At 48.4% G+C, this 17,588-nt stretch overlaps 1 protein-coding gene across 11 annotated transcripts in view, besides 2 other annotated features; it reads right to left on the bottom strand.

Annotated features, from left to right (window-relative positions):
* The window catches only part of LRSAM1 (leucine rich repeat and sterile alpha motif containing 1), a 52,016-nt gene that overhangs the window by 23,233 nt on the left and 11,195 nt on the right, over nt 1-17,588 (bottom strand). For 9 of the 11 annotated variants that reach the window (NR_168892.1, NR_168891.1, NM_138361.5 and 6 more), the window contains 5 exons: nt 12,439-12,529; nt 6,338-6,468; nt 1,306-1,335; nt 764-886; nt 291-430 (listed from right to left, as the gene is read on the bottom strand). Coding sequence is in view for 9 of the 11 variants with exons in the window: in NM_138361.5 (NP_612370.3) it covers nt 291-430; nt 764-886; nt 1,306-1,335; nt 6,338-6,468; nt 12,439-12,529 (515 nt within the window). In the remaining 2 variants the exon portion in view is untranslated. The remainder of the gene's footprint in view (nt 1-290; nt 431-763; nt 887-1,305; nt 1,336-6,337; nt 6,469-12,438; nt 12,530-17,588) is intronic. The other 2 variants (NM_001384144.1, XM_047424059.1) reach the window with 2 other exon arrangements.
* Nucleotides 15,515-16,015: an enhancer, noted in NCBI's record as "H3K4me1 hESC enhancer chr9:130226533-130227033 (GRCh37/hg19 assembly coordinates)". NCBI's record gives its function as "activates a minimal SCP1, AML or CMV promoter by ChIP-STARR-seq in primed H9 embryonic stem cells {active_cell/tissue: H9 hESC(primed)}" and the evidence as "EXISTENCE:reporter gene assay evidence [ECO:0000049][PMID:30033119]".
* Nucleotides 16,016-16,516: an enhancer, noted in NCBI's record as "H3K4me1 hESC enhancer chr9:130226032-130226532 (GRCh37/hg19 assembly coordinates)". NCBI's record gives its function as "activates a minimal SCP1, AML or CMV promoter by ChIP-STARR-seq in primed H9 embryonic stem cells {active_cell/tissue: H9 hESC(primed)}" and the evidence as "EXISTENCE:reporter gene assay evidence [ECO:0000049][PMID:30033119]".

Raw genomic sequence — 17,588 nt, 5'->3', positions numbered from 1 at the left:
AACCCACTCACTTTATAGATGGGAAGCTTGGGGCCCAGTGGGGAAACATTTGCCCGAGGCCACAGGTCCAATCTGGTAGCAGTCTCATGCTAAGAAACCAGACTTTGTAATGACTGGGTCAGATTCTTTTCTCTCTACGCTGGTGCCAGTTGAAGCACCCAGACTGGATCCTGACAAGGGAAGCCCGGGGCAGGGGCAGAGGCAGTGAGGGAGAAACACACTCCTCCCGGCTCCTCAGGGGACTGCACGGGGAAGGACTCTGGGGCTGGGGCCGAGGAGCAGAGCCCAACCTCTGATTGTCCTGCAGCAGCTTCTGGATCCGGCTGGAAATGTTCTGTTCCGTCTGCTTCAGCTGCTCCTGCAGCCGCTGCCGCTCTGCGTTGAGGTGGCGCTGGTGCTCACTCAGGCCCTGCTCCAGCCGGGACTGCTCCTGCAGCCGGAGGTAGGGGTCCTGAGCCCCTGGGACCCCCTCAGACGCCGTGAGGGGTACTGACTGGGGTTAGGAGGCTGGCTTTCCCACCCTGCCTTGCCAATCCTTTTTGTGTGACCTCCGGCCAGCTCCTCCCAGTAGGCTACAGTGTCCATCTGCACACGGGGAGGCTGGGCTGGGTGATCTGTAAGGGCCCTCCCAGGTGCTGGGGGACAGAAGGAAGTGACAGCTTCATCCCACTGCCTTTCCACATCCGAGGGACCTTGGCCCAAGCCAGGAGGCCACTGGCTGGGGGATGCAGCCAGGCTGGACCCTAGCAGGCGGCTCACAAACCTCCTTGACCGTCTGAAGGATCTCATCCTTCTGGCTGCTGCTCTGCTGAAGGAGCTGGGTGTGCTCCCGCTGCCCCAGTTCCAGGCGCCGTTCAAACTCGAGTTTCTCCAGCATCTTCTGTTCCTGCAAGACACAGATCCTGGTGACTGTCAGCACAGGCCCTGGGGGAGTTAGGACACAGAAGTCGGGAGAATCCACCCCTCAACACTGACAGGGCAGGCTCCAGGTCTTCATGCTGAGCAACCCCCACTCCCCTCCAGGGCCCAACTGTAAGAAAACAAGCTGTTCACAGGAAGAGGCTAGTGGTCTAGAGCCCGGTGCTGGGCTCAACCCCTCTGAGCCTCAGTCTCTGCACCTGTCCCATGGATGCTCTACCACCCACCTGAGGCATGTGAGGATGCAGCAGACTGCGTGTAAGAGGAAGGCATTACTGTGACCTCTAATTCTGAGCTGGGAAGAAGTCATTTTCTCAAATATTTTATGAGTTGAGTTGAGATCTTTAATGAGAAAAGAGTGACAGAAGGGTAAAGGCATTTTCTTACCTTCCTCTTCTCATAGTCTGAGAACCTGTTCTGGGAGGAAAAAAAGACAGTGGTCAAGAGAGGGTGGCAGCAGTGGTTCTCCCTGGCATGGGCACCAGGAACCCCCGGGTGGCCTGATGTTATACAAACTCTGGCCCACCCCAGACCACTGCCTCAGAATGGTGGGGTCGGGGGATGAGGGGATCCGTATTGATCAAGGGCACCAGGTGGTTCCAGTGGACACCTGATGAGAACCCCTGGGCTGTCACTGTGTGCATGGCACTGTAGGAGGGGCTCTTCAAGACAGTTCTGGGATGCAGCCCTGAGCAGGGATGGTGGTCTGAAGAGCAGAGCAGGAAATGGGATATCTGATGCCCATGGATGTCTGCGTAACACACCTACAGCACCCGGTTCCAGTCCACCAAAATACTCACAGTGCACAAAGGTGTGGGTACAACTTCCTGCAGAATTATTCAAAAGAGCAAAAACACTGGAAATAACTCATACATCTATCAACATCTGTCCGTAAGTCATGGTGCATCCATACAGTGGACTATTACACAACCGCCAATGGGGCGAATGTGTGAGATCCCTCACCTGTGTGTAGCATGATTCTACTTTTGCAAAAACATCATCAAGAAAACTCAACTCTGAGCATATGTGTGAAGGTATTGAGTCAAAGGTCAAGAAGGACAGTCATTAATCAGTTAATGATGACTACCTCCAGGCAACGGGAGTGCAGGGTGGAAGGGTTGACATTCACTTGGTTTGTAATTGTCTGTATTGTTTAAATTTATAACAAGGAGCAGGTATTAAACATCAATAATGTAATGTAATTATTGGTGTTTAATTAATTAATTTATTATTGATGTAATTAAACAGCAATACACATATACACAAGAGTTAGGTTCTTCTTTTTTTTTTTTTTTTTTGAGACGGAGTTTTGCTCTTGTTGCCCAGGCTGGAGTGCAATAATGGCACAATCTTGGCTCACTGCAACCTCCACCTCCTGGGTTCAAGCAATTCTCCTGCCTCAGCCTCCTGAGTAGCTGGGATTACAGGCACCCACCACCACACCCGGCTGATTTTCTGTATTTTTAATAGAGACAGGGTTTCACCATATTGGCCAAGCTGGTCTCGAACTCCTGACCTCAGGTGATCCATTTGCCTCGGCCTCCCAAAGTGCTGGGATTATAGGCATGAGCCACTGCGCCCGGCCCACACAAGTTTTTTCTTTGTGATGGAGTCTCACTCTTGCCCACGCTGGAGTGCAGTGGCACAATCTCAGCTCACTGCAGCCGCGACCTCCTGGGCTCTAGTGATCCTCCCACCTCAGCCTCCTAAGTTGCTGAGACTGCAGGCACGCACCACCATGCCTGGCTAATTTTTTGTATTTTTGGTAGAGACAAGGTCTTGCTATGTTACCCAGGATGGTCTCAAACTCCTGAGCTCAAGCATCCACCCGACTCGGCCTCCCAAAGTGCTGGGATTATAGGCGTGAGCCACTGCGCCTGGCACACAGGTATTTTTTGAATGGTCCTTCTATTTAGTTATCCTGTTTTGAGAACAGGATCAGTCTCTGAATTATAAAAGCAGCAACCTATAAATAGGATTTTGCCTATACTAATGGTAGGAATATAATTTTAAAATTAATCTTCAATTATACAGATAACATCTCAATATATTCTCCTTGTAAAAGTTTGAAACATGGTATAAAAAACTAAAGCATCTACTGACCACTCCAGCCTAACCCTGGTTCCCCTCCCACCCCACACCTCCTGTCAGGTGTAACTGTCATTATCAGGCCCAAGGCATGCATCTGTACATATATAATTTGTGCCTTTGGGAAAGAAATATATTTGTATTTGTGTGCATATATAAACATTTTTTTAATCAAGTATAATCTATTTACTCTAATTCACCCAATGTTAGTGAACAATTCTATGAATCTTTATATATGCATAGAGTTCTGTAACCTCTAAACACAATTAAGATAGAAAACAATTCTGGCTGGGCGCGGTGGCTCATGCCTGTAATCCCAGCACTTTGGGAGGCTGAGACAAGTGGATCACTTGAGTTCAGGAGTTCGAGACCAGACTGGCCAGCATGGTGAAACCCCGTCTCTACTAACAAAATGCAAAACTTAGCCAGGCGTGGTGGCAGGTGCCTGTAATCCCAGCTACTCGGGAGGCTAAGGCAGGAGAATTGCTTGAACCTGAGAGGCAGAGGTTGCAGTGAGCTGAGATCATGCCACTGCACTCCAGCCTAGTGTGACAGAGTGAGACTCTGTCTCAAAAAGAAAAAAGAAAACAATTCCATCACCCTCGAAAATTCGCTCATGCCACTTCATCATCAAATCCTCTTCCCACTCCAGCCACTGGCAACTACCTGTCTGTTTCCTTTTTTTGTTTTGAGTTTTCTTTTTCTTTCTTTTTTGAGATAGGGTCTAGTTCTGTTACTCAGGATGGGGTGCAGTGGTGTAATCTTAGCTCACTGCAAACTCCAACCTCCTGGGCTTAAGCCATCCTCCCACCTTAGCCTCCCTCGTAGCTGGGACCACAGGCACGTGCCACTATGCCTGGCTAATTTTTTTGTATTTTTTGTAGAGACAGGGTCTCGCCACATTGCCCAGGCTGGTGTTGATTGAGTTTTCTTTTTAAACATAAGAATGGAAATAGACTAGCCCATCCTGTTCTGCAATCTGCCCTTTTCACTAATCCATGTGTCCCAGCGAGCCGAGGCTCAAATGCTCCATCTCATGGTGTGCACATGACCCAGGGGCAGTGCCTTCTCACTGACAAACATTTGGGGGGCATCCAATACTACAAATAAGGCTGCAATAAACACTCCTGCAAATGTCTCCTCATGCAAGCATTTATCTTGGGTATACATTGAGAAGCGGAACTTCTGGATCACGGGCTGTGCCCATGAAAATTTTTGACATCTGGCGGGTGTGGTGGCTCACACCTGTAATCCCAGCACTTTGGGAGGCCGAGGTGGGCAGATCACTTGAGGTCAGGAGTTCGTGACCAGCCTGGCCAACATGGTGAAACCCCGTCTCTACTAAAAATACAAAATTAGCCGGGCATGGTGGCGCATCCCTGTAATCCCAGCTACTCGGGAGGCTGAGGCAGGAGAATCACTTGAACCCGGGAGATGGAGGTTGCAGTGAGCCAAGATTGCACCACTGCACTCCAGCCTGGGCAACAGAGTGAGACTCCATCTCAAAAAAAAATAAAAAAATAATAAAATCTTTTTTGACACCTACTGTCAAATTATCCTCCAAAGTTGTGATACCAATTTTCACTCCCAAGAGCAGTTTATGAGGACACCTGTTTTCCCATACTCTGGCCAACAGAAATTGTCATGTCAAAATGTGTGCCAATCTTGAGGAAGGAAATGGTATTTCAATGTTGTTTTAACTTAACATGCCTCTCCTCTGATTACCAGCAAAGTTGGCATTTTTAAATGTTTGTTTGTTTGTTTGTTTGAGATGGAGTCTCATTCTGTCACCTGGACAGGCTGGAGTGCAGTGGCGCAATCTCAGCTCACTGCAACCTCTGCCTCCTGGATTCAAGTGATTCTTGTGCCTCAGCCTCCCGAGTAGCTGGGATTACAGGTGCACGCCTCCATGCCTGGCTAAGTTTTGCATTTTCAGTAGAGACAGGGTTTTACTACGTTGGCCAAGCTGGTCTCAAACTCCTGGCCTCAAGTGATCCACCAGCCTCGGCCTCCCAATATTTTTTCTATTGCGATGGTTTTCTTCTTACTGATTGGAAAGAGTTCTTTCTCTGCTCAATCTACGAATCCTTCAGCCAGTGACTGTGTTGCAAATATTTTCTGAGAATGTGAACTGGCACAATTTTCACATACAGCCTTCTCCTCCCTCTCTAATTCTTGCTGAACTATAAAATAATAATAATAATAATAATAATAAAATCCCAAATGCATTCCCAGCAGCAGTGGAAAACGGGAAAGGGTGGCATCTAGGAACCAGAGATTAAGAGTCAGTGGAAGATATGAAGCCAAATGCCCGGCAGCTGGTACTCCTGCCCAGTGATGGCCTCCCCCATCTACCAGCCAGCAGAGGACCCTGGATCATGAGCCTTGGGGATGGCGGCAGAGGGGGCACGCAGGCTAATGTGGCAAACCCTTTGAGCTTCCTCCTCTGTGTCGTCCTGTGCTAGCTTGTCGCCAGGACCTGACAGGGCCAGCCTGTCACTGGTGCTCACACATGTGCCTGTCTGACTCCTTCACTAGACCCAGAGCATGGTGGGTGTGTGTCCCAGACAGTGAGTAGCATTTGGTCCAGAAGTATTTGCTGAGAGATAGCAATGAACATTACAGACACAATCCCTATTCTCACAAAGCTTCATCCAGCAGGGGAGACAGACATGAGACAGATCATTTCCCATAGAGTTCCTCATCAATTTAGCGCTGTGATAAGTGCTACCAAGGAACTGTGCAGGGCACTCTGAGAACACACAACAGGAGACCTGACCTCGACTGGAGCTTCTCAGAGGATGTAATGTTTAAACTGAGAACTGAAGGAGGCTGAGCATGGTGGCTCATGCCTATAATCCCAGCACTTTGGGAGTCTGAGGTGGGAGGATCACTTAAGCCCAGGAGGTTAAGGCTGCAGCGAGCTATGATCACACCACTGCACTCCAGCCTGGGTGATGGAGCAAGACCCTGTCTCAAAAAAAGGAAAAAAAAAAAAAAAAGAACTGAAGGATAAGACAAGTGAGTGGGGAGATTCCAGACAGAGGGAGCTGCTTGTTCAAAGGCCCTGAAGAGGGAAGGATCATGGTTAGTTCAGGGAACAGACAGCAGCAGGGCACAGCTTGTGCTTGGCAAGCTGGTGGGGTGAGGCTGCCACAGCAGGCCTTGAAAAAGCAGTTCAACTCGTCAGGAGGCCAGTTCTAGTTCTATGGAGGAATCTGGGAGCTGCAGCTCTGAACCACCGCCCCCTTCCATTCCCAGCTCCCTCAACACACATACATGCACACGCACACACACACATGTATGCGTGCAGCAGGCTGCCTTGTCTTACCTGCCACTCTAACTCCTCCCTTGAGAATCTGTCCGTGGGCCCATCAGGGCTGTCCCGAGAGTTCTCGATTCCATCTTGCTCCAGAATTGGCAGCAAGTACTGAGAAGGGGGGTAGTATTCCAGCCCTGACTCTGTAAGAGACGGGACACAAGCTGACCAGGAGGGAGGAGACAGCTGAGGTACCCAGAGACACCCGCTCCCACTGCCAGGGCAGCCGGCCCCACCCTGACTCAGCCACTGCTCTCCTCTTCCCTAGCCTGGGCGCTTCGTGTTTTTCACCGGTCCTAGCCCTGGGCCTGGAATGTGGCAGGTGCTCAGTAAATGTCAGTGGAGTGAGTCAATGGGTACTGGCTACCCCTTACACCTCTTTACCATCCAAGTGAGAATGAAGTGATGAAAAAGCCTGAGATAAGCAGTGAAACCTGCGTCCTAGATCCAGCTCTACCAATAATTCCCTGAATGTGAGACCTTGGGCAAGATGCTTTCCTTCTCTGGCCATGTGTGGTTTTGCCTGTAAAATTTCAAAGGGTTCATACCTTAGACTCACTTCCTATTTGGCTGTTTGTCTTTTTCCTGTTGATTTGTAGGTGCTCTTTATATATTGTAGTTAATAACCTTAGGTCTATAATATGTTGTAACTATCTTCTTCCAGGTGGTAACTGGTCTTTTAACTTTGATGATGGTGTCCTTCCGGGGTAAACAAGTTGTAAGTTTTGATGTACTCAAAGTTATCTTCTTTCCCCTCATGGGAAGGATACAGTCACGTCACAAGAAATACTAAAAATGGGCAGGAGACGTATGAAAAATATTCACAGAATCAAGGAAGTGACATTAGAATAATAATGGGCTCTCTTGTTATCCATCCGATTAGCAGACTCTTTAATAAAATACTTCATGTTACGCAGGTTGTGAAGGGGGAGAGAGGTCCTCCCAGCCACTCCTCATGGGATGGAGACTGATGGGACCTCTTCCCAGGCACCCTAGGGCGCTCGTGCCCTCTCACACACCCTAGGGGAAAGTGCACACGGTGACAGAGAGGTGTCAGTTCAAATGTTCAGAACAGCAGGAAACTGGAAATGCCTTCCAACAGGGATGGCTACGAAGCTACAGGTGCCACCACATGAAATCCTGTGACCAGTTTAAGGGGACATTCAAACCGTACTATGAGACAGGAAAATACCCAAGACTTTTCTTGAGAGACAAAAAAAGCAAGGCATAGAATCACATCATATGATACCTTTTATGGTTTCTTTAATGTTTATTTTTATTTTTATTTATTTATTTATTTTTTGAGATGGAGTCTTGCTCTGTCACCCAGGCTGGAGTGCAGTGGCATGATCTCTGCTCACTGCAACCTCCTCCTCCTGGGTTCAAGCCATTCTCCTGCCTCAGCCTCCTGAGTAGCTGGGATTATAGGCATGCGCCACTACACCCAGCTAATTTTGTATTTTTAGTAGAGACAGGGTTTCCGCATGTTGGTAAAGGTGGTCTCGAACTCCTGACCTCAGGGGATCTGCCAGCCTTGGTCTCCCAAAGTTATGGGATTATAGGTGTGAGTCACCATGCCCAGCCTCTTTAATGTTTTTTAAAAGGTCAAAAAACAAATTTTACACACACATATATATATATATATACTTCTACATAGTTTAGGTAAATTGAAAAATTATTTCTTGGCCAGGCGTGGTGTCTCACGCCTGTAATCCCAGCATTTTGGGAGGCTGAGGCGGGTGGATCACGAGGTCAGGAGTTCGAGACCAGCCTGACCAACATGGTGAAACCCCGTCTCTACTAAAAATACAAAAATTAGCCAGGCGTGGTGGTGGGCGCCTGTAATCCCAGCTACTCAGGAGGCTGAGGCAGGAGAATCGCTTGAACCCAGGAGGCAGAGGTTGTAGTGAGCCAAGATTGCGCCACCGCACTCCAGCCTGGGCGACAGTGAGACTCTGTCTCAAAAAAAAAAATTATTTCTTGCAGGGCGTGGTGGCTCACACTTGTAATGCCAGCGCTTCGGGAGGCCGAGGTGGGTGGATCACCTTAGGTCAAGAGTATGAGACCACCCTGGTCAACATGGCGAAACCCTGTCTTTACTAAAAATACAAAAATTAGCCAGGCGTGGTGGCTAATTGTTCTTTTTTCTTTTTTTTTGAGATGGAGTCTTGCTCTGTCGCCCAGGCTGGAGTGCAGTGGCGAGATCTCAGCTCACTGCAGCCTCTGCCTCATGGGTTCAAGCGATTCTCCTGCCTCAGCCTCCTGAGTAGCTGGGATTACAGGCATGCATCACCACGCCTGGCTAGTCTTTGTATTTTTAGTAAAGATGGCGTTTCTCCATGTTGGTCAGGCTGGTCTCGAACTCCCGACCTCAGGTGATCCACCCACCTCGACCTCCTAAAGTGCTGGGATTACAGGCGTGAGCCACCGCGCCCAGCCCAAAATCTTTTTTTTTTTTTTTTTTTTTTTTTATAACATAAGGTCTCTCTCTGTCACCCAGGCTGCAGTGCAGTGGCACAATCTTGGCTCACTGCAACCTCCACTTCTTAGGCTCAAGCAATCCTCCCACCTAAGACTCCCGAGCAGCTGGCACTACAGGTGTGCCACCAAGCTGGGCTAATTTTTGCATTTTTTGTAGAGATGAAGTTTTGCCATGTTGCCCATGTTGAACTCCTGGGCTCAAGCGATCCACCCGCCTTGGCCTCCCAAAATGTTGGGATTACAGGCGTGAGCCACCTTGTTCGGCCCCAAAATCTTTTTAAAGAAAATAAAGGCTTTTGTCTAGCTAGCTCAGCCATTGGCCAGGGTGTATATTGGAATCACCTGTTGCTCGAAGACTCTAATTTGCATATGTGTGGCCTGGTGGCTATGATCGCAGCCACCCCCCTCCACTTTCTTTTAAAGTAAAATATAACATACATACAGAAAAGAGCACAAAATCTTTCTCTCTCTTTTTTTAAGATTAGTCAAGTGCAGCGGTGAGAAGAGGAGAAAGAGTGGAACAAGGCCTTAAATCTGTAACTGACTGTGAGCAATCAATTGAGATAACTCACTGCCTTTGGGCCGAGAGCACAGAATCTTCATGCAGAGCTTGATGAATGTTTAAAGGTGAACACACTCTCATGACCAGGAACCAGTGCTGGTTCAAAGCTCTGTGGTGACTGATAAGAGCACATATTCCTTTGTGTCTGGCTCCTCACACTCCACATTGTTTGTGAGACTCATCCAGGTTGTTGAAAGGAGCAGTGGCTCATTCTTTCCACTTGCCGTGTGGTATCCACACATTGAGTATAAAACAGTTTAGTTATCCATTCTACTCCTAATGGACATTAAAGCTGTTTCCAGGTTGGACTGGCATAAATAGTGCTGCTATGAACATTTTTGCACATGGCTTTTGGCATTTATTCATATGCATTTCCATTGGGCATTGATATGGTCTGGCTCTGTGTCCCCACCTCAATCTCTGAATTGTAATCCCCACGTGTTGGGGGCGGGAACTCGTGGGAGGTGATTAGATCATGGGAGCAGTTCCCCCATGCTATTCTTATGGTGGTGGGTGAGTTCTCACAAGATCTGATGGTTTTATAAGGGGCTTCCCTCTTCACTTGGCACTAATTCTCTCTCCTGCTGCCCTGTGAAGAGGTGCCTTCCACCATGACTGTAAGTTTCCTGAGGCCTCCCGGCCATGTGAAACTGTGAGTCAATTAAACTTCTTTTCTTTATAAAGAATTTCTTCATAGAAATTGGGAATTTCTTCATAGCGGTGTGAGAACAGACTAATACAGGCATGTACCTAGGAATGGAACTCATGGGCCATAGGATATTTGAATGTTCAGCTTGAGTAGATATTGAGAATAATTTTTAAGGTAATTTTCACTTTACATTCCCACCTGCAGTATATGGAAGTTCCTGTTGCTCCACATCTTTGCTAATTCTTGGTATCACCAGTTCAATTTTGGCCATTTTATTTTATTTTTTTGAGATGGAGTCTTGCTCTGTATCCCAGGCTGGAGTGCAGTGGCGCAATCTCGGCTCACTGCAAGCTCCTCCTCCCGGGTTCACGCCATTCTCCTGCTTCAGCCTCCCTAGTAGCTGGGACTACAGGCGCCCGCCACCACGCCTTGCTAATTTTTTTTGTATTTTTAGTAGAGACAGGGTTTCACTGTGTTAGTCAGGATGGTCTCAATCTTCTGACGTCATGATCCGCCCACCTCGGCCTCCCAAAGTGCTGGGATTACAGGCGCGAGCCACCGCGCCCGGCCTATTTTTTGTTTTTTTATTTCTGGTTGACTTGTCAGCAGGAAGTTTTTTGTTTTTTTTTTTCCATTGAAAAGTTCTGGCCATTTTAGTGGGTTTGTCAAAGTATCTCTTTGCAGTTTTAATTTGCATTTTCCCATTGACTAAGATGATGTTGTGCAATTTTTTCAGATACTGTTTGCTATCTGTATATCATCTCTTTTTTTTTTTTCTTTTTGAGATGGAGTTTTGCTCTGTCATCCAGACTGGAGTGCAGTGGCACAATCTCAGCTCACTGCAACCTCTGCCTCCCGGGTTCAAGTGATTCTCCTGCCTCAGCCTCCTGAGTAGCTGGGATTACAGGTGCCTGCCACCATGCCCAGTTAGTTTTTGTATTTTTAGTAGAGATGGAGTTTTACCATGTTGACCAGGCTGGTCTCAAACTCCTGACCTCAGGTTATCTGCCCACCTCAGCCTCCCAAAGTGCTGGGATTACAGGTGTGAGCCACCGTGTGGATATTCTCTTGTGTAAAAATTCTTAGTCAAGTCTTTTGCTAATGTCTTTTCCTTGTGGATCTGTAGGATTTCTGTTTATAGTCCAGATCCCAGTCCTTTGTTGGATATATATGTATTGCAAATATCATCTCTAACTTTATGGCTTTCCTTTTCTTTCCCTAAATGGTATCTTTTGAGGAAGAGACATTTTGATTTTAATTAAACCTTTTTTTTGAGATAGGGTATTGCTTTGTTGGAGTCTTGCTCCAGGCTGGAGTGCAGTGGCATGACCACAGCTCAGGCTCAAATGATCCTTCCACCTCAGCCTCCCAAGTAGCTGGGAACACAGGCACGTGCCACCACGCCTGGCTGATTTTTTTTTTTTTTTTTTTTTTTTTTTTTGTAGAGACAGGGTTTCACCATGTTGCCTAGGCTGGTCTCAAACTCCTGGGCTCGAGATCCTCCTGCCTCAGCCTCCCATAGTGCTGGGATTACAGGCGCAAGCCACCATGTCTGGCCTTAATTAAATCTAAGGTACCAATCTTTTATCATGAGTACTGCCTGCTTCCTGTTTAAGGAAGAGGTTAAAGTTCATTTTTTCCACAGGGACAACCAGTTGATCCAGAATCAGCTATTGAAAAGACCATCCTTCCCCACTGTTTTGCAATGGCCATGATAAGTCATAGGCATGTGTGTCTTGGTTGCATTCTGAAAGTCCCACAGGTGACCAGAACCACTAGCTAAGAACTTCCAGCCTGACAGGGCATCCTGCTCTCCTCCCGCCTCCAGCCAGTGCTGGCTCCGGGTTTTAGCTCCTTCTGCTGTGCATCTCTCCTGGATGACCCCGACAGCCTCCTAACTGGTCCCCTGTCCTGCACTCTTTCTTTCCTCCTCCAATCCCTTCTCCTCCCTGCAGCCTAATGACTGATCACATGCTCTCCCACTGGACACTGGGCCCGGGCACTGTCTTTGGCTTCTCCCATCTCTCTTCTCTCTGCTTCCTCCCTCCAGCTACACTGGCCCTCTCTCTGTCAAACTTCCCATCAAGGCCCTTCCATATGCACCTACTGGCGGAACAGCTTTCTGCTTTTTCTAGATCTTAACCATGACTCCGTGTCAGTGGAGCCACACTCTCAAAGACAGGCCTTCCCTGTGGCCCCAACCTAAATCAGCTGCACCACTGCACTCCCATAACCACAGTCTGTATCTATTTCCCTGTGTAAACATTTGTTTTGCCTGTTTCCCTTGCCAGACCTCGAACTCCAAGCAGGTAGGCACTGTGGCCATTTCTGTCTCTGCTGTTCCCCAGCCTGGGCTGGCACAGGGTGGCCATGGGGGTCATAGTTCCTCAATGAGGGGAGGAGGCAGCGGCCTGGCTTTACCTTTGCAGAGGAACTGCAAGATGGCCGCAGTGCCGGCACCACACACCTCCCGCGGCGGGTAGACCATGGCCGAGGCGTCAAGGCTCAGCATCTGCAGACACAAGGGTAACCCGCTTTACTGTTCGCTACCAACGCAACCGGAGACCACACGATTTCCTTATCAATTTGTGTGTTCTCTGTCACCTCTACCCAGCAGGAATGGCCTGACAGCAGAGGTGGCTGAACTGTCTTGTTACTTACAGCTGCGTTCCCAGTGCCTGGGATGACTGTAGGCAGGCAGTGTGATGCCCTACCTTGTTTTAACCTGAGTGACTCTCTCCTAGCAGAGAGAGAGCCGGACAGACTCCATTTTAGTTTCTTCACCTGCAGCCCCCTTCCCTCCCTCCCTTAAGGGCATAACTAGTGTAAACTGACTCAAAGCACATCCAGGAATGCACTTACTGATAAGATATTGAGGTGAGCTGCACCAGCAGCTCCTGGGGACACGCGCAGTGGATGGCACATAAAGCCCCTGCATTTATCCCTTTGTGATAGTTTAAGCCCCTGCACCTGGAACTGTTTATTTTTTGTAACTGCTTTTGTAACCAATTAATTTTTTAACTTTTTGCCAGTTCTGCTTCTGTAAAAATTGCTTCAGCTAAACTCCCCCCTCCCCTATTTAGACCACAGTATAAAAACAAAACTAGCCCCTTCCTCAGGGCCAAGAGAATTTTGAGCATTAGCTGCCTCTCGGTTGCCAGCTAATAAAGGACTCCTCAATTTGTCTCAAAGTGTGGTGTTTCTCTATAACTCGCTTGGTTACAACAGCAGCAAGCACTTTTTTACATTTTTCTGAGACAGGGTCTCATTCCCATTGCCCAGACTGGAGTGCAGTGGCACGAACACTGCAGTCTCGACCTCCCCAGGTTTAAGCAATCCTCCCACTTCAGCCTCCTGAGTAGCTGGGACTATAAGCACATGCCACCATGCCTAATTTTTGTATTTTTTGTAGAGATAAAGTCCTACTATGTTACCCAGGCTAGTCTCAAAGTCTTGGGCCCAAGCAATTCGCCCGCCTCCCAAAGTGCTGGAATTACAGGTGTGAGTCATACACCCAGCCTCTCAGTTCACTTTGGATAAATACATAAGTGAGTGAAAAAAAGGAAGTTATAGGACAGCATATAGAATATGATTCCACTGGCTGGGTGTGGTGGCTCATGCGTGTAATCCCAGCACTTTGGGAGGCCAAGGTGGGAGGATCACTTCAGCCCAGGAGTTCGAGACCAGCCTGGGCAACATAGCGAGACCCCATCTCTAGTGGAAAAAAAAAAAAAAAAAAAAAAAAAATATATATATATATATATATATATATATATGATTCTTCCTTTGTTAGATAATATATTCATATAATATATTCATACACTTTCACATTCATATTTTATAGAAAAAAATTGGAGGGATATCTATCAAACTAAAAGTGGTTTCCTCTAAAAGGAGATTTTGGGTTACTATCTACATGAAATGCTATTATTATTACTATTTTTTGAGACAGAGTCTTGCTGTGTGGCAGGCTGGAGTGCAGTGGTGTGATCTCAGCTCATTGCAACCTTTGCCTCCCCAGTTCAAGCAATTCTCTTGCCTCAGCCTCCCGAGTAGCTGGAACTATAGGCATGCGCCACCACACCCGGCTAATTTTTGTATTTTTAGTAGAGATGGGGTTTCACCATGTTGGCCAGGCTGGTCTTGAACTCCTGACCTCAAGTGATCCACCCACCTCGTCTTCCCAAAGTGCTAGGATTACAAGCTTGAGCCACTGTGCCTGGCAGAAATGTTTCTTAATATTTGCATTTTTTTTGTTTTACAATATACAGTATGACTTTTAAATTATGTAATGACAAATGTTTATCAGCGCACACATGCAGATGCCTCCGTGTTTATGAAGCCCAGGAAGCAGGGGCCTCAGCTCACAGCCACAGAACTGCCCCATCCACGGTGTGAGTTGTGTTGGACCCTGCCCTCCCGCTGCCAACCTCTGACTTCCCACAGGCCCTCTCATCCCAGAGTGCTGGCAGGCACTGATATCCTCTATGCCTGGGTATCAGGGGAGTCCTGGAAAAGGAGAAGGCCTGGGAAGCTCTGATTTTGCTGTAACACAAGTGGCTGGGTGGGAAGGGTAGCTCAGGTCCCCCAGCCCTGGCCAGCCCAGCCCTCACACGGTGGGTGTTGAGTGAACGTGCTTTGCACAGGGAGTGGGAGACTGCCCCAGGGAAGAGGAACTGACCGCCCAGATGCTGAGGGCCCAACAGCAGAAAACCCCATACCTGGAAGCAAATGAACCCCACATGGGTGCTCTTAGTCACCATCAGTAAAGCGTGGTGGCTTAAGGGCACGGACTGTGGGCTATACCAGGATGCTGGCTACAAGCCATGTGTGGCCATTTATGGTTACATTTTAAGTAACTGAAAATAAATCTGATTTAAAGTTTGAGTCCATGGTTGGTTGCAGTCACCACATTTCAAGGGCCCAGCAGCTACAAGTGGCTGGGGTGGCCATGTTGGCTGCACAGATCATAGAGCATTCTCATCGTGGGCAGCAGGAGCAGTGACTGGACATTGCTGTGCCAAAGACACCGCCATGGCTTCAGATCCCGGCTCATTGCATGCTGGCCATGTGTTTGCTTAATCAGGCCCCTTAGTGTCCTGGGGCTGTGGTCTCCTCATAGCCAAACAGGCAGTGTTACCGACCTGGTGGGCTGTTTGGTGGGTGGCGTGCGTGACACCTGAAGATCTTGCCCACAGTACGGCCTGAACTCAGAACGGTTATCTCATCCTAAAAGAAGGTTTGTCCGAGGTGCCACCAAGAAACCCAAAAGATTTTTTTTAAAGGAATCAAAATAAAATGAAGTGTCCAGGTTGGGTGTGGTGGCTCACACCTGTAATCCCACCTACTTGGGAGTCAAGGCGGGAGGATTGCTTGAGCCCAAGACTTTGAGACCAGGCTGGGCAACATAGTGGGACCTCATCTCTACAAAAAATAAAAAAATTAGCCAAGAGTGATGGGGTACACCTGTGGTCCCAGTCTCTTGGGAGGCTGAGGAGGAGGATCTCTTGAGCCCAGGAGTTTGAGGCTGCAGTGAGCTATGATTGAGCCACTGCACTCCAGCCTGGGTGACAGCATGAGAGCCTGTCTCAAAGAAAAAAAAATTGAAGTGTCCAGAACTCATACTAGATGTCGAGATGGCTTCAGGATTGGGAACGTGCTCTGAGCTGTATTGTCTAAAATGGTAGCCACTAAGGACCCACGGCTATTTAAATATAAATTAATTAAAATTCAATGAAATCAAACTTTTAGTTCCTGGCTGTACACACAAGCCACATTCCAGGTGCTCCATAGATACATATGGCCAGCGGCTGCCGCTCTGGACAGCACGGTCTCCAGGTGCTCAATAGATACACGTGGCCAGTGGCCGCCGCTCTGGACAGCACGGTCACCAGGTGCTCATTAGATACACATGGCCAGTGGCTGCCGCTCTGGACAGCACGGTCACTGAACATTTCCATCATTGCAGAAAGTTCCAGTAGGCAGCAGAGAGGACAAGCCATGTTGGCCCATCTCCCCAGCCGGCCCTTTCTCAGGCAGGAGGGCCCCAGCTGCTGAGGTCAGTCCTTCCTCTGCTGTCTCTGTGATCACCCACCCACTCTGACACAGACACCTCTGCTCAGCAGGCTGGGCTGGCTGAGAGTGGGGTCAACTCCAGGCCACTCCGGAATGCTGGCCAGACTGCGTGCCACCATGAATGGAGAAGTCCCTGTTCCAGAAGCCGAGTCATACAGAGGTGGGGAGCACAGGCGTCAGCTTCAGACGGCCTGGTTTACAACGATCTCTGCTGTCAGTGACTGTGTGGCCCTTGGGCAAGTTTCTTAAACTGCCTGTGCCTCAGTTTCTTCATCTACAAAGTAGCACAATAGTATCTGCCTCACAAGAGTTCTGTGACGATACACGGAGCGATTCCAGGTTATGCCCAGTCTTAGAAAGCCCCAGATAAAGGTGAGCTACCTCATTAGCATGACTGTGAGAGCTGCTTTCCGTGAGCAGCTGCCTCTGTCAGTGTCTGTCATGGGCTGAACTATGTCCCCCTCCCAAGTTCCTATGTGGAAATCCTAATCCCCCCATCCCTCAGAATGTGGCTGTATGTGGAGATAGCATCTTTAAGGAGGTAATTAAGTTAAAAAGGGGTCATTAGGCTGGGCCCTAATCCAATGTGACTGGTGTGCTTCTAAGAGGAGGGAATTTGGACCCGGACATGTACACAGGGAAGATGAGGTGAAGACACAGGGAGGGAAGACAGCACCTACAAGCCAAGGAGGGAGGCCTCAGAAGTCACCAACCCTGCCAACACCTTGATCTTGGACTTCTAGCCTATAGAACTCCCCTGGCCTGGATAATTCTGAACCCCCATCCCAACGGCTCCCTACCTCCTTCTCTCCCTCCCAGCTTTCTGGGCCCCATATCACACAAGCTCAGCAGCTTCCAACCACATCACTTCCTCGACCCTCCCTGAGACAATCTGTGCTTCCCACCACCTGCCTCCTGCACCTGGGCTGCCCCTGTTATCCAGGTCTGCTCAGAATTTTTTTTTTTTTTTTTTTTTTTGAGACAAAGTCTTGCTTTGTTGTCCAGGCTGGAATGCAATGGCGCAATCTCGGCTCACTGCAATCTCCGCCTCCCGGGTTCAAGCAATTCTCCTGTCTCAGCCTCCCCCGAGTAGCTGGGATTACAGGTGCGCACCACCACGCCTGGATAATTTCTTGTATTTTTAGTAGAGACAGGGTTTCACCATGTTGGCCAGGCTGGTCTCGAACTCCTAACCTCAAGTGATCCACCTGCTTTGGCCTCCCAAAGTGCTGGGATTACAGGAGTGAGCCACGGTGCCCAGCCCAGAAATCTTATTCCTCCTTTAAGGTCTGGCTTGAATATCACAACTTTTTTTTTTTTTAACTTTTTTTTTCTTCTGCAACTTTTAAGCTCAGGAGTACATGTGCAGCACGTGCAGGTTTGTTACAAAGGTAAACATGTGCCACGGTGGTTTGCTGCACAGATCGTCCCATCACCCAGGTTTGAAGCCCAGCATCCATTAGCTTTTCTTCCTGATGCTCTCCCTCCCCACCACC

This window comes from Homo sapiens, chromosome 9, assembly GCF_000001405.40.
Source record: "Homo sapiens chromosome 9, GRCh38.p14 Primary Assembly".
NCBI lineage: Eukaryota > Metazoa > Chordata > Mammalia > Primates > Hominidae > Homo > Homo sapiens.
Note: the sequence above shows the minus strand (reverse complement) of the source record. Positions and strands in the feature narration are given on the sequence as shown.